This window comes from Homo sapiens, chromosome 9 (genome assembly GCF_000001405.40).
Source record: "Homo sapiens chromosome 9, GRCh38.p14 Primary Assembly".
Classification (NCBI taxonomy): Eukaryota; Metazoa; Chordata; class Mammalia; order Primates; family Hominidae; genus Homo; species Homo sapiens.
In genome coordinates, this window is record NC_000009.12 from 27,603,448 (window position 1) to 27,616,053 (window position 12,606).

The 12,606-nt window shown below is 40.7% G+C and overlaps 1 pseudogene, besides 2 other annotated features; it reads right to left on the reverse strand.

Moving 5' to 3' along the window:
* CTAGE12P (CTAGE family member 12, pseudogene) lies at positions 4,541-7,347 on the reverse strand (annotated as a pseudogene).
* Positions 6,924-7,425: an enhancer, noted in NCBI's record as "H3K4me1 hESC enhancer chr9:27610369-27610870 (GRCh37/hg19 assembly coordinates)". NCBI's record gives its function as "activates a minimal SCP1, AML or CMV promoter by ChIP-STARR-seq in naive H9 embryonic stem cells {active_cell/tissue: H9 hESC(naive)}" and the evidence as "EXISTENCE:reporter gene assay evidence [ECO:0000049][PMID:30033119]".
* Positions 7,426-7,925: an enhancer, noted in NCBI's record as "H3K4me1 hESC enhancer chr9:27610871-27611370 (GRCh37/hg19 assembly coordinates)". NCBI's record gives its function as "activates a minimal SCP1, AML or CMV promoter by ChIP-STARR-seq in naive H9 embryonic stem cells {active_cell/tissue: H9 hESC(naive)}" and the evidence as "EXISTENCE:reporter gene assay evidence [ECO:0000049][PMID:30033119]".

Consider the following 12,606-nt stretch of genomic DNA (forward strand, 5'->3'; position numbering starts at 1 on the left):
CTGCTTCTCCGATTAAAATCGCTTTTCCTCCCACCAACCTTCCTCTCTTATGTCTAGCTTTAGAGCAGCAAGCAGCTGAACCTGGGTTCAGTTACAATACAAACCTTACCTATTCCACAGTTTTATAAACAAAATGCTGAGGTGTACTATTTCAAGCCCTGTTATCATTTACTTCAAGGGAAACTTCCCCAAAACAGAATGATGGAATTGTAATTCTAGAACTCTGCCAATAAACAATAACATTCCTTGATTTTTCTCATCATATAAATTGTCAAAGTTACAAATGTTATCTCCATACACCTAATGTTTTAAGACATCTTACAGTCTTTATCGAGAATCTGTCAATTGGTTCTTATTAAATAAATAATTCATTTATTTAATTTTAAAGTCTTGTTTCTGTTTCTTATCAGTAACATCAATCTTAGCTCCCTGTTAACTTTCTTCTCATATAATAACAAATATATCTGCTATTGCTTAATAATGGAATAGCTTAACTTGGGTTAATTTTACATTTTAAACTTTTGGTGCCTTCACATGCTAGTGGAATTTTGACAGAAGAATCTTAAGATCACATCCAATTTAATAAAAACAAAGGCATAAATGAGGCCCCACAGTGGCTTCTGATGAAGGGCTTGAGAATTTACTGTGGCCTAGCTGTGAAAATTCTTTTAAATTTCTGCTGCTGCTATTTTTTTCATTCAGGACCTATGCATGTTGCCCATGCACTGGCCAATTTTTTAGTCAAAAACAGAGGCCTCAACATGTTCTTGCTGACTACTGAGAGGCTGGGGAGATCTCAGTCTCAATACGTATTTGTCACTTGTTAGCTGACGCCTGGCATTCTAAAACAGAAGCATCCCTCCTTTCCCTCACACATATTGTCAATGGAAATGGAAATGTTTACAGATGGAAGATTTTGCTTCTTAGTAATTTATGCCCATGTTTGGCAAAGTGTATACAGTTTGCAGACTGGGCCAATCCATAATGCTTATTTTTTTCTATCTTATGTTTGCTTTAATTTTATTTATTGAGATTTAATTTTAAATTTCTTACAGTTAATAATAAAAAAATTGGAATTTGTATTTTGAATGTCTGTGATTTTAAAATTTCATTCTCTAGAAGTTAATTTTTATTGCATTTTACAAAAGTACTGGCCTACAATGGGTCTGCTGTCACAGATAGTTCGAGAAATACTAATTTTATTCCTTGCTGTATGGAGTAGGCAAGAGATACCCCCAACCTCCAACCTTAGAATGGATTTTGATAGGAGAAAGGAAACACAGAGCCCCAGAAGAAATAAAATAGGGGGAATAATGGTTTCAGTGAAAAACATTGCTGCCCTTATTAATTTGCTCGAGGCTAGTCCCTGTGCCTGTTCACAAACCTATCTTTCTACAAGCTTTAATTGAATACATTCTATGTTTAAGGCATTGTCTTTGTTGTCGAAAGATATAGCCTTTATTTTCTTCTTGTCCAGTGGTTCTCAGATTTGCCTGCTGTATATCAGAATAACTTGGGAAGCCTTGTTAAAGACTGTAGATTCCAGGGTTCCATTTGAAAACCCACTGAATAAATATCTATGTGAATGGCATCTTCAAAGTTGTATTTTCAAAAGGTTTTGTGTGATTTTGATGTCTGGCTTGGTTTGGATAGCACTGCTTTAGCCCTTGGTCACCTTTACCTTGAAATGAGGTAACGTACAATTAGCAATGATTGGAATATAAAAAAGGTAATAAACTCAATAATCATTTATTAAATACTCTACTTTTCCACATGATGGATACAAAGAAGTTGTAGTAGTGAGGATAATTAATGCTGGATACTATAAGCACAATACTCTCACCTTAATGGCACCATGTAATAGATCTTTATATCTTGCTCACACAGGGTCCTGTGCATATTTTCCTGTGCGTATTTCCAGGCTGTTTCCCTGGTGAACTCTTCTCAAAACAGTAAATCAGAAATCCAGGCTCTTTCAGTTTGGAACCCCACCATCCTTATTACATGGCCTGTAGTTTGTCCATGAAAGAGACGAGAGAAGAAGATCATATCTGAGGGATTTTTGAAGACCAGGCCTATACGTGGCGTGCATACCTTCTGCTCACATTGCCTGTCTAGAAGTAGTCACGGCACCTCAATTAGATGAAAGGGGACAAAGAAATGACCTCTTCCCGAGTGACTGGGAAGGAAAAGAAGTGGTTTGGTGAATACATAGTGTTTTCTCTGCCACAGATATGTAAAATGTAATGTCTGTTAATCTTTTAAGCAGCCTCATTTTCCCCAAAGTAGTGGTAATAAGACCACTGAAGAGACACACTTTAAGCAAGTACAAGTTTATTACGGTAGATTCTATGAAGAGATTTGCAAAGGGTGTTTGTTCTGCTCCCTCTTTGCCATTTTAAACATTATATGGTGATGGAGACCACTTGATTTTGTCTTATACATTATATCATCAGTACCTCTAAGAATGGGTGTATATTGGCCATCCCCTACGAAGTCCCCAAATACTACTGTTGCCATTTTACATTCCAGACATTTTGAAGGCAAGTTATCTTCTGGTCTACCTCGTACTATCTTTGATAGACAAAAATTCCTTAATACACAAAAGGAGAAGCAGTATTGTTAGAGAATTGTTACAGGTTTCTAACTCTCTAAAATCTGACTAAATCTTGTCTAAAATAGTATTCTCAAATCTTAACTCATGAATTTTGCAGTCTCTTCGGGAGATGAATCATCCACTTTTGAAATATTGAGTGTAATATTGTGTATGATAAAATACTAGTAGCAAATGTAGGGAAATTATACGTAGTAACTGTTAAGAGTTTAGGATCACAGGATAGTATAGAGAAGATAGAAGTCTGCTGGCTTGAAGAATCTTTAAAGGTTTTATTTACTTTCATGATACCTGATGACAGTGCAGGGGCAAGCTAGAATTTTTCTTAAGCCTGAACAAAAGTAACTTATGCAGAGCTTCTCCAGATGTTATCATACATTGTCTTCCCAGACTTCTCAAAATTCTATCCTTTCTCCTTACCATTACAAAGTATGGTGGAAGAGGCTAGGGATTCTTGTCTTTATGTTATACTCCATGATCTACAATACTGCCAGTACATTCATTAGAATTTGAATATCTTCCACTTTTTTAGTTTCCAGGATGCTCTGTATTTTAAGAATAACATTGACCCTTAAGGATCCCAAGAACCAAAAAACATGAGGAAAGGAGAGGGGCAGGACCAGAGTGCTTTGTCTTAGAGCATGGTGCCCTGGAATTCGGTGTAAATATTAGACTTTTGAAAGCTTCCTTAACATTAATTTTCCTCAGACTTAGATAACATAAATTCTCAGTAATGCTCCATGATTTTTATTCTTAATGGTTCCTGGGAGTTGTCATTTACTTTTGGACCCCAAATTGGGATCCTCACTGAACCATACTGAAGGGTTCTGGCTTAGCCCTTAATAGCTTCTAGCCATTAAAAAGTCGAGTAGGGCAGCCCCTCCCAAGGCCATCGTCTCTTTTATAAATCTTGACTGCTAACTGACCTATCTCACCGATTCCTCATTTGAGCAGACACCAGGTAATTGGATGCTTCAATATGTTCTTTCATTAATCTTTTTGTCCATTAATATTCTTTTTTTTTTTTTTTTGAAACGGAGTCTCACTCTGTCGCCCAGGCTGAAGTGCAATGGCGCCATCTGGGCTCACTACAAGCTCTGCCTCCCGGGTTCACGCCATTCTCCTGCCTCAGCCTCTCGTGTAGCTGGGACTACAGGCGCCCGCCACCATGCCCGGCTAATTTTTTGTATTTTCAGTAGAGACGGGGTTTCACCGTGTTAGCCAGGATGGTCTCGATCTCCTGACCTCATGTTCCGCCCGCCTCGGCCTCCCAAAGTGCTAGGATTACAGGCGTGAGCCACCGCGCCCAGCCTGTCCATTAATATTCTTATCCAGCACCAGATGATCTGGATCTTTCATGGCTCTTCCAGAATGTGCTGTACTTTTTCCATAATTTATCAAGGTTGGTCTCTGGTCACTGCATGCATGAGGACACTGAAAGGGAGATTGTTCTTCTGGACAGGCCTCATGTGAATTCACTTCTCTAGGATGGTGGTTGGTAACTAAGTTTGAGGAGCTGGAACATACAATCCAGTCTTGTTGAATAAAAAGGAACTTAAAACTCAGTGAGTTTAGGTGATTTAAACAGTCACTCTACATGTTAAAAGTAGAATCCATAAAAGTTAGGTGAAGGTATGACCACTGAAAGGCATCTAAATCCAAACATAAATACAACATTTTTATTGGGATAAGAGGTTAGCCACTTCAAATTGTTTTTTTCTTATTAGGTTTATGTGCTGAGTTTCTGAGCTGGATCCTTAGGAAATAACTCATCAGATAAAAAGTTATGTGTCCAAAATTGTTCACTGAACCATGATTCAAAAATAACAACACTTTTTAAACAACCCAATGTTCAGTAAGAGAGAATGGTTAAACAACTGATGATGCACCTAAATGATAGATTAACCATTTTCTTTTTTTAAAAAAAAATCAACTAAAATTTATTTAATGAAGCATAAAATTACTTTCACATTTGTCTACAACCACAGTTAATACAGTTCTTGGCATAAAGACACAACCTTTATAATTTAAAGCCTCCCTACCTGCAAGATTACATATATAAAACTCCCATTATTGTTTATATAATCGTGGATTAGTTTATCAAATTAAAATAGTTATACTATCCAGAATAACATAAAATGGAAATAATTTACTCATAAGATTCATATTTAAATCATCTTTATTTAGAAAACACTATCCTGAGAATTATAATTCCATTAAGCTTCAGTGGGAGCAAAAGTGTAATCACTTAAGTAACAGCAGTTACTTAAACTGAAAATGAGATCAGTCAAAATTACTTTTGAAGAGAGCAAAAATATTGTCAGGTTTCTTGCTGTGGTTCTGGATGTTCAGTAGCAGGCTCATTTGAAGGCAGAATCAGCCCTGCAGGGAACTCACTTCTACCTTCAGAATGTGGGGTTTATGGGGAAAAATCCAGGTTTTGGGGGAAGGTAAGGAGGAAACGCCTCGCTGGATAGACATTTCTCATTGCAAATGGAGCATGTGGTGGATCTGGGAAATCCCTTGGTGGAAAATAATCTTGAGAAGCTCCAAACATGGTTCCTGGAGGAGGTGGGGGGAAAGGAGGTCCTCTTCTCATGAACAGGCTCCTTGTATCCCCCGGAAACAATGGACCTCTGATTGGAGCAAGAGGTGGAGGAGAAAAGTAAGGGCCAGTTGCTTCATTTTCAGCAGGGAGAGATGAATCAGGCACATTTAAATTACCAAGGTCATCTTTGGTATCATTTCTGCTGGATTCCATTTCTGAAAGCATTGACCCATCCACTTTATCCAAAGAAGTCATATTAAACCTTCTGAGTTCTGCTGGTCCAGACAGTGTGCCAGAATTAGAATAAAATCTGTCTTGCCTTTGTGGAGGAAGAGCTGAATCAGGATATGATTGTCCTGGTGGAAGAAACATCATCCTACGGTCCTGTTCCCATGGAGGTGACAGGGACCCAGTGTCAGAGAAGCCCTGTGAGGATTGGTTAACCTGTCACATCTTGATTCTCCTCTTTCATTGGTAATCTGATGGTCCAGAGGATTCCCTGGACCTCTTGAGCCTCTTCCTCCTCCTCCTGTTAGCAAAGATGAGAGTCTCAGTGGGCCCTCAGAGAAAAGCTCTTGTTTAGGATGAAGGCCGACCCAGTGGTGAGGGACCATATGGGGAATGCTCTCTGCCAAATGCTGTATTTGGAACATGAAGTGCATAAGGATCTTTTTCTAAAAGTTCAAATTTAAACTCTGCTTCAGTTAATTTTTGTCTGTTGTGAGCACTTTCTTTCCTTAAACCATTGAGGTTTCTTTCAGCAGTCCAAGCTGCCAACCAATTATTATGTGCTTTTTTCTCGTGGGAAATAATCCATCCTTGATAAGAATGAATAGTTCTCGCCAACTCTTCTTCAAGATCTTTGGCTCACTTTCTATAGGTCTCCAACTCTTCAGTGGCACGGCTGATCTTTTCGTGTACTTTAGAAAGTTTTTCTTCCTTTTCTAACCGGTAATTTCATCTACTGTTAATTTCCTCTGGAGTTTCATTTCATTTTCTTGATAAAATTCAATCATTACTTTAAGTTTTTGTTGAAGCTTCTGATTCTCACTTTCAAAATGTGTGTTTTCTGACTGCAAAGATGCTTGTTCAGTCTGAAGATTTTTAATATGCTCTGTAAGCTCTTCCTTTATCAACTTCAGATAACTGACTATAAATTTGGTTTCTTTCTCCTTGTAAGGTTTTTAAAGAAGCATTTAACTTAGCAGCATAAATCAGTTTCTTCAGAGCTCCTTTCGGAGGATTATCTAAGTAAGCACCATTTTCCGATTCACTGTTCATTTCTAATTCCAAGTTACCATCATCCGTTATGTCTTCTCCAAGCATAGCAGCCTGATCTTTCATTTTTAGCAAGCGTTCAGAGTCTTGATGTGATTTTCTTTATCATTTAGAACTTGTTCTGCATGTACTTTGGAGTCTTCAAATGTTATTTTCTGTTTATTAAGTTCACTCACTTGTTCTTTCCATACCTCAGCTTCTTGCAAAAGCTGTCTCTCGTTTTCCTGGAGTTGAGAATTTTCATTCAAAGCATCTTTTATTGCTATCTTCAGTCGTTCTTCATTCATTTGAAATATCGTCAAGTTCATTTTGGCTTCAGCTACTTGTCATTTGAGGGATTTTGACTCATCTTCTAGAGACTGTATCCTTTTGCAAATATCCACCATCAATTCACCTTGTTCAGAATGTTTAGATTTCTCTTATTTTAACTCTTTTTCTAGACAGAGTATTTCATCCTCAAGTTCAGAATTGGACCTGTTTAGCTTTTCACAGGTTGCCTCCTTCTCAAAGCTGGCATTCTTTAAAGATGACTCTACTTCATAGCCTTCATACTCTTTTTGAACATGGCTAAATTTTTCAAGTAGTTTATGCTTTTCTTCAATTAGTCCAGAAAGCATTACAGCAAGCTTTTTTTCTCTTCCCACATAAAGCCGACTCCCAACCGATCTAAAACTTCTCCACACAAAAAAAGAGAACAGCAAAAAATCCATGTACAGCTGCACATATCACCAACTCCCATGGAAAACCATAAGGATTAGAGTCTGGTCTCACACTTTCAGGCAGTGCTGCCACAACCCTGCTTAGCTCCCCCAGGACCAGCCCCAAATACCGCTGAGGGGTAGCCCCAGGCTCCTCCACAGCGGGGAAGGCTGCTCCGGCGGTTGCCACAATAAACTTGGGCTGTGGGCGGCAGAGAACACGCAGCCTTCAGTCTGGAACCCGAATCCGCACGTGGCAAACGGAGCGGACCATTGTGGAGCCGGCTGCGGGGCGAGCTGCGGACACGGGCAACCAAAGGTCTCAGAGGCCCACGCTGCCCACCCCAGCCCCCTTGTTACACTTTACATCCTGAGGCAGCGCCTTTTATTATTATACTTTAAGTTCTGGAGTGCATGTGCAGAACGTGCAGGTTTGTTAGGTAGGTATACACATCGCATTGTGGTTTGCTGCACCCATCAACCTGTTACCTACATTAGGTATTTCTCCTAATGCTATCACTCCCTCAACCCCAAATCCCTCGACAGGCCGCAGTATGTGATGTTCCCCTCCTTGGGTCCACGTGTTCTCATTGTTCAACTCCCTCTTATGAGTGAGAACATGCGGTGTTTGGTTTTCTGTTCTTGTGATAATTTGCTGAGAATGATGGTTTATTGATTTGCGTATGTTGAACCAGCCTTGCATCCCAGAGATGAAGCCGACTTGATCCTGGCGGATAAGCTTTTTGATGCGCTGCTGGATTCCGCTTGCCAGTATTTTATTGAGGATTTTCGCATCAATGTTCATCAGGGATATTGGCCTGAAAATTTCTTTTTTTTGTTGTGTCTCTGCCAGGTTTTGGTATCACGATGATGCTGGCTTCATACAATCAGTTAGGGAGGATTCCCTCTTTTTCTATTGGAATAGTTTCAGAAGGAATGGTACCAGCTCCTGTTTGTACCTCTGATAGAATTCGGCTGTGAATCTGTCTGGTCCTGGACTTTTTTTGGTTGGTAGGCTATTAATTACTACCTGAATTTCAGAACTTGTTATTGGTCTATTCAGGGATTCAACTTCTTCCTGGTTTAGACTTGGGAGGGTGTATGTGTCCAGGAATTTATCCATTTCTTCTAGATTTTCTAGTTTATTTGTGTAGTTGTTTATAGTATTCTCTCTGATGGTAGTTTGTATTTCTGTGGGATCAGTGGTGATACCCCCTTTATCATTTTTTATTGCATCTATTTGATTCTTCTCTCCTTCTTTATTGTCTGGCTAGTGGTCTATCTGTTTTGTCAATCTCTTCAAAAAACCAGCTCCTGGATTCATTGATTTTTTTGAAGGGTTTTTCATGTCTCTCTCCTCTTCAGTTCTGCTCTGATCTTATTTATTGTCTTCTGCTAGCTTTTGAATTTGTTTGCTCTTGCTTCTCTAGTTCTTTTAATTGTGATGCTAGGGTGTCGATTTTAGATCTTTTCTGCTTTCTTTTTTGGGCATCTAGTGCTATAAATTTCCCTCTTAACACTGCTTTAAATGTGTCCCAGAGATTCTGGTACATTGTGTGTTTGTTGTCATTGGTTTCAAAGAACTTCTTTATTTTGCCCTTCATTTCATTATTTACCCAGTAGTCATTCAGGAACAGGTTCAGTTTCCATGTAGTTGTGCGGTTTTGAGTGAGTTTCTTAATCCTGAGTTCTAATTTGACTGCACTGTGGTCTAAGAGACTGTTATGATTTCCGTTCTTTTGCATTTGCTGAGGAGTGTTTTACTTCCAACTATGTGGTGAATTTTAGAATAAGTGCGATGTGGTGCTGAGAAGAATGTAAATTCTGTTGATTTGGGGTGGAGAGTTCTGTAGGTATCTATTAGGACCACTTGATCCAGAACTGAGTTCAAGTCCTGAGTATCCTTGTTAATTTCCTATCTCATTGATCTGTCTAATATTGACAGTGGAGTGTTAAAGTCTCCCATTATTATTGTGTGGGAGTCTAAGTCTCTTTGTAGGTCTCTAAGAACTTGCTTTATGAATCTGGGTGCTCCTGTATTGGGTGCATATATATTTAGGATAGTTAGCTGTTCTTGTTGCATTGATCCCTTTACCATTATGTAATGCCCTTGTTTGTCTATTTTGATCTTTGTTGGTTTAAAGTCTGTTTTATCAGAGACTAGGATTGCAACCCCTGCTTTTTGTTTTCTTTGCTTCCCATTTGCTTAGTAAATATTCCTCCATCCCTTTATTTTGAGCCTATGTGTGTCTTTTCATGTGAGATGGGTCTCCTGAATATAGCACACTGATGGGTCTTTACTCTTTATACAGGTGGCCAGTCTGTGTCTTTTAACTGGGGCATTTAGCCCGTTTACATTTAAGGCTAACTTAATTAAGGTTAATTTGATCCTGTCATTATGATGCTAGCTGGTTATTTTGCCTGTTAGTTGATGCAGTTTTTTCATAGTGTCAATGGACTTTAAAATTTGGTGTGCTTTTGCAGTGGCTGGTACCGATTGTTCCTTTCCACGTTTAGTGCTTCCTTCAGGAGCTCTTGTAAGGCACGCTTGCTGTTGACAAAATCTCTCAGCATTTGGTTGTCTGTAAAGGATTTTATTTCTCCTTCACTTATGAAGCTTAGTTTGGCTGGACATGAAATTCTGGGTTGAAAATTCTTTTCTTTAAAAATGTTGAATATTGGCCCCCACTCTCTTCTGGCTTGTAGGGTTTCTGCAGAGAGATCTGCTGTTAGTCTGATGGGCTTCCTTTGTGGGTAACCTGACCTTTCTCTCTGGCTGCCCTTAACATTTTTTTCTTCATTTCAACCTTGGTGAATCTGACGATTATGTGTCTTGGGGTTGGTCTTCTCGAGGAGTATCTTTGTGGTGTTGTCTGTATTTCTTGAATTTAAATGTTGGCCTGTTTTGCTAGGTTGGGGACGTTCTCCTGGATAATATCCTGAAGAGTGTTTTCCAGCTTGGTTCCATGCTCCCCGTCACTTTCTGGTACACCAGTCAAACATAGATTTGGTCTTTTCACATAGTCCTATATTGCTTGGAGGCTTTGTTCATTCCTTTTCATTCTTTTTTCTCTAATCTTGTCTTCTCAATTTATTTCATTAAGTTGATCTTTAATCTCTGATATCCTTTCTTCCACGTGATCGATTTGGCTATTGATACTTGTGTATGCTTCACAAAGTTCTCGTGCTGTGTTTTTCAGCTCCATCAGGTCATTTATGTTCTTCTCTAAACTGGTTATTCTAGTTAGCAATTGCTCTAACTTTTTTCAAGGTTCTTAGCTTCCTTGCATGCTCCGTTAGCTTGGAGGAGTTTGTTATTGCCCACCTTCTGAACACTAATTCTGTGAATTTGTCAAACTCATTCTCTGTCCAGTTTTGTTACCTTGCTAGTGAGGAGTGGTGATTCTTTGGAGGAGAAGAGGCGTTCTGGTTTTTGGAATTTTCAGACTTTTTTGCACTGGTTTCTCCCCATCTTTGTGGATTTATCTACCTTTGGTCTTTGATGTTGGTGACTTTTGGATGGGGTCTCTGAGTGGACGTCCTTTTTGTTGATGTTGATACTATTCCTTTCTATTTGTTAATTTTCCTTCTAACGGTCAGGCCCCTCTGCTGCAGGTCTGCTGGAGTTTGCTGGAGGTCCACTCCAGGACCTGTTTGACTGGGTATCATCAGCTGAGACTGCAGAACAGCAAAGATTGCTGCCTGTTCCTTCCTCTGGAAGCTTCGTCCCAGAGGGGCACCTGCCAGATGCCAGCTGGAGCTCTCCTTTATGAGGTGTTTGTCAGCCCCTACTGGGAGGTGTCTCTCAATCAGGAGACATGGGAGTCAGGGACCCACTTGAGGAGGCAGTCTGATCTTTAACAGAGCTTGAACGCTGTGCTGGGAGATCTGTTGCTCTCTCAGAGCTGTCAGGCAGGAACGTTTAAATCTGCTGAAACTGCACCCACAGCCACTCCTTCCCTGAGGTGCTCTGTCCCAGGGTGATGGGGGTTTTATCTATAAGTCTCTGACTGGCGCTGCTGCCTTTTTTTCAGAGATGCCTTGCCCAGAGAGGAGGAATCCAGAGGGGCACTCTGGCCACAGCGGCCTTGGTGAGCTGTGGTGGGCTGTGCCCAGCTGGACCTTCCAGGCAGCTTTGTTTACACCGTGAGGGTAAAACCGCCTACTCAAGCCTCAGCAATGGTGGATGCCCCTCCCCACACCAAGCCCGGGCGTCTCAGGTGGACCTCAGACTGCTGTGCTGGAAGCGAGAGTTTCAAGCCAGTGGATCTTAGCTTGCTGGGCGCCGTGGGTGTGGGACCCGCCAAGCCAGACCACTTGGCTCCCTGGATTCTGCCCCTTATCCAGGGGAGTGAACGGTTCTGTCTCACTGGCGTTCCAGGCACCACTGGGGTATGAAAATAAAAACTCCTGCAGCTAGCTTGATGTCTGCCCAAATGGCCACCCAGTTTTGTGCTTGAAACCCCGGGCCCTGGTGGCATAGGCACCGCTTGTTATCTCCTGGTCTGTGGGTTGCAAAGACTGTGGGAAAAGCCTGGACCAGAGTGCACTGTTCTTATGGCACAGTCCCTGACGGCTTCACTTGGCTAGAAGAGGGACCCCTTGCACTTCCTGAGTGAGGCAACGCCCCACCCTACTTCTGCTCACCCTCCATGGGCTGCACCCACCGTCCAACCAGTCCCAGTGAGATGAACCAGGTACCTCTGTTGGAAATGCAGAAATCACCTGCCTTCTGCATTGATCTCACTGGGAGCTGCAGAACGGAGCTATTCCTATTCAGCCATCTTGCCAGCAAAATCCTCTTCTTTTCCTTTTTTTCGAGATAGGGTCTCCCTCTGTCACCCAGACTGGAGTGCAGTGGTGCGATCACTGCTCACTGCAGCCTCAACCTCTCCAGCTCAAGTGATCCTCCCACCTCAGCTTCCTGAATAGCTGGACCCCAGGCATGCACCGCCAAACCTGGCTAATGTATTTTTATATTTTGTAGAGACAGTCTCCTTGCATTGCCCAGGCTGGTCTCGAGCTCCTGGGCTCACGTGATCCTCCCGCTTCAGCTTCCCAAAGTGCTGGAATTACCTGGTCAACAATTTTCTAATTGTTAAAAATAATATTAGTTAAAAATAAAAGTTGATAACTTTATAGCAACTTGAAATAAAATCTATGAGATAATGTGAAAGTAAAATGCCAAGATACAAAGATGTAGATTTTTCCACCAGTAAAACAAAGATTCACTAGGAAAAGGAGGAGCAGAGGGAAGCAATCAGAGGACAATGTGGCAAAGCCCAAAATCTATCACTTCAGTGAAGCTTGAAATATAGACAAATGAAAGGCAAAAGAGGCAGGAAAAGTTGCACTGCAATTCATTCATCAACTTTAATGCACTTACATTGTAGATCTCATGAGGAAATAAAAAAAGAGATGGTTTAAAAATGTCCCTCCACAGGCCCTTGTCTATACAAGGTCACAGT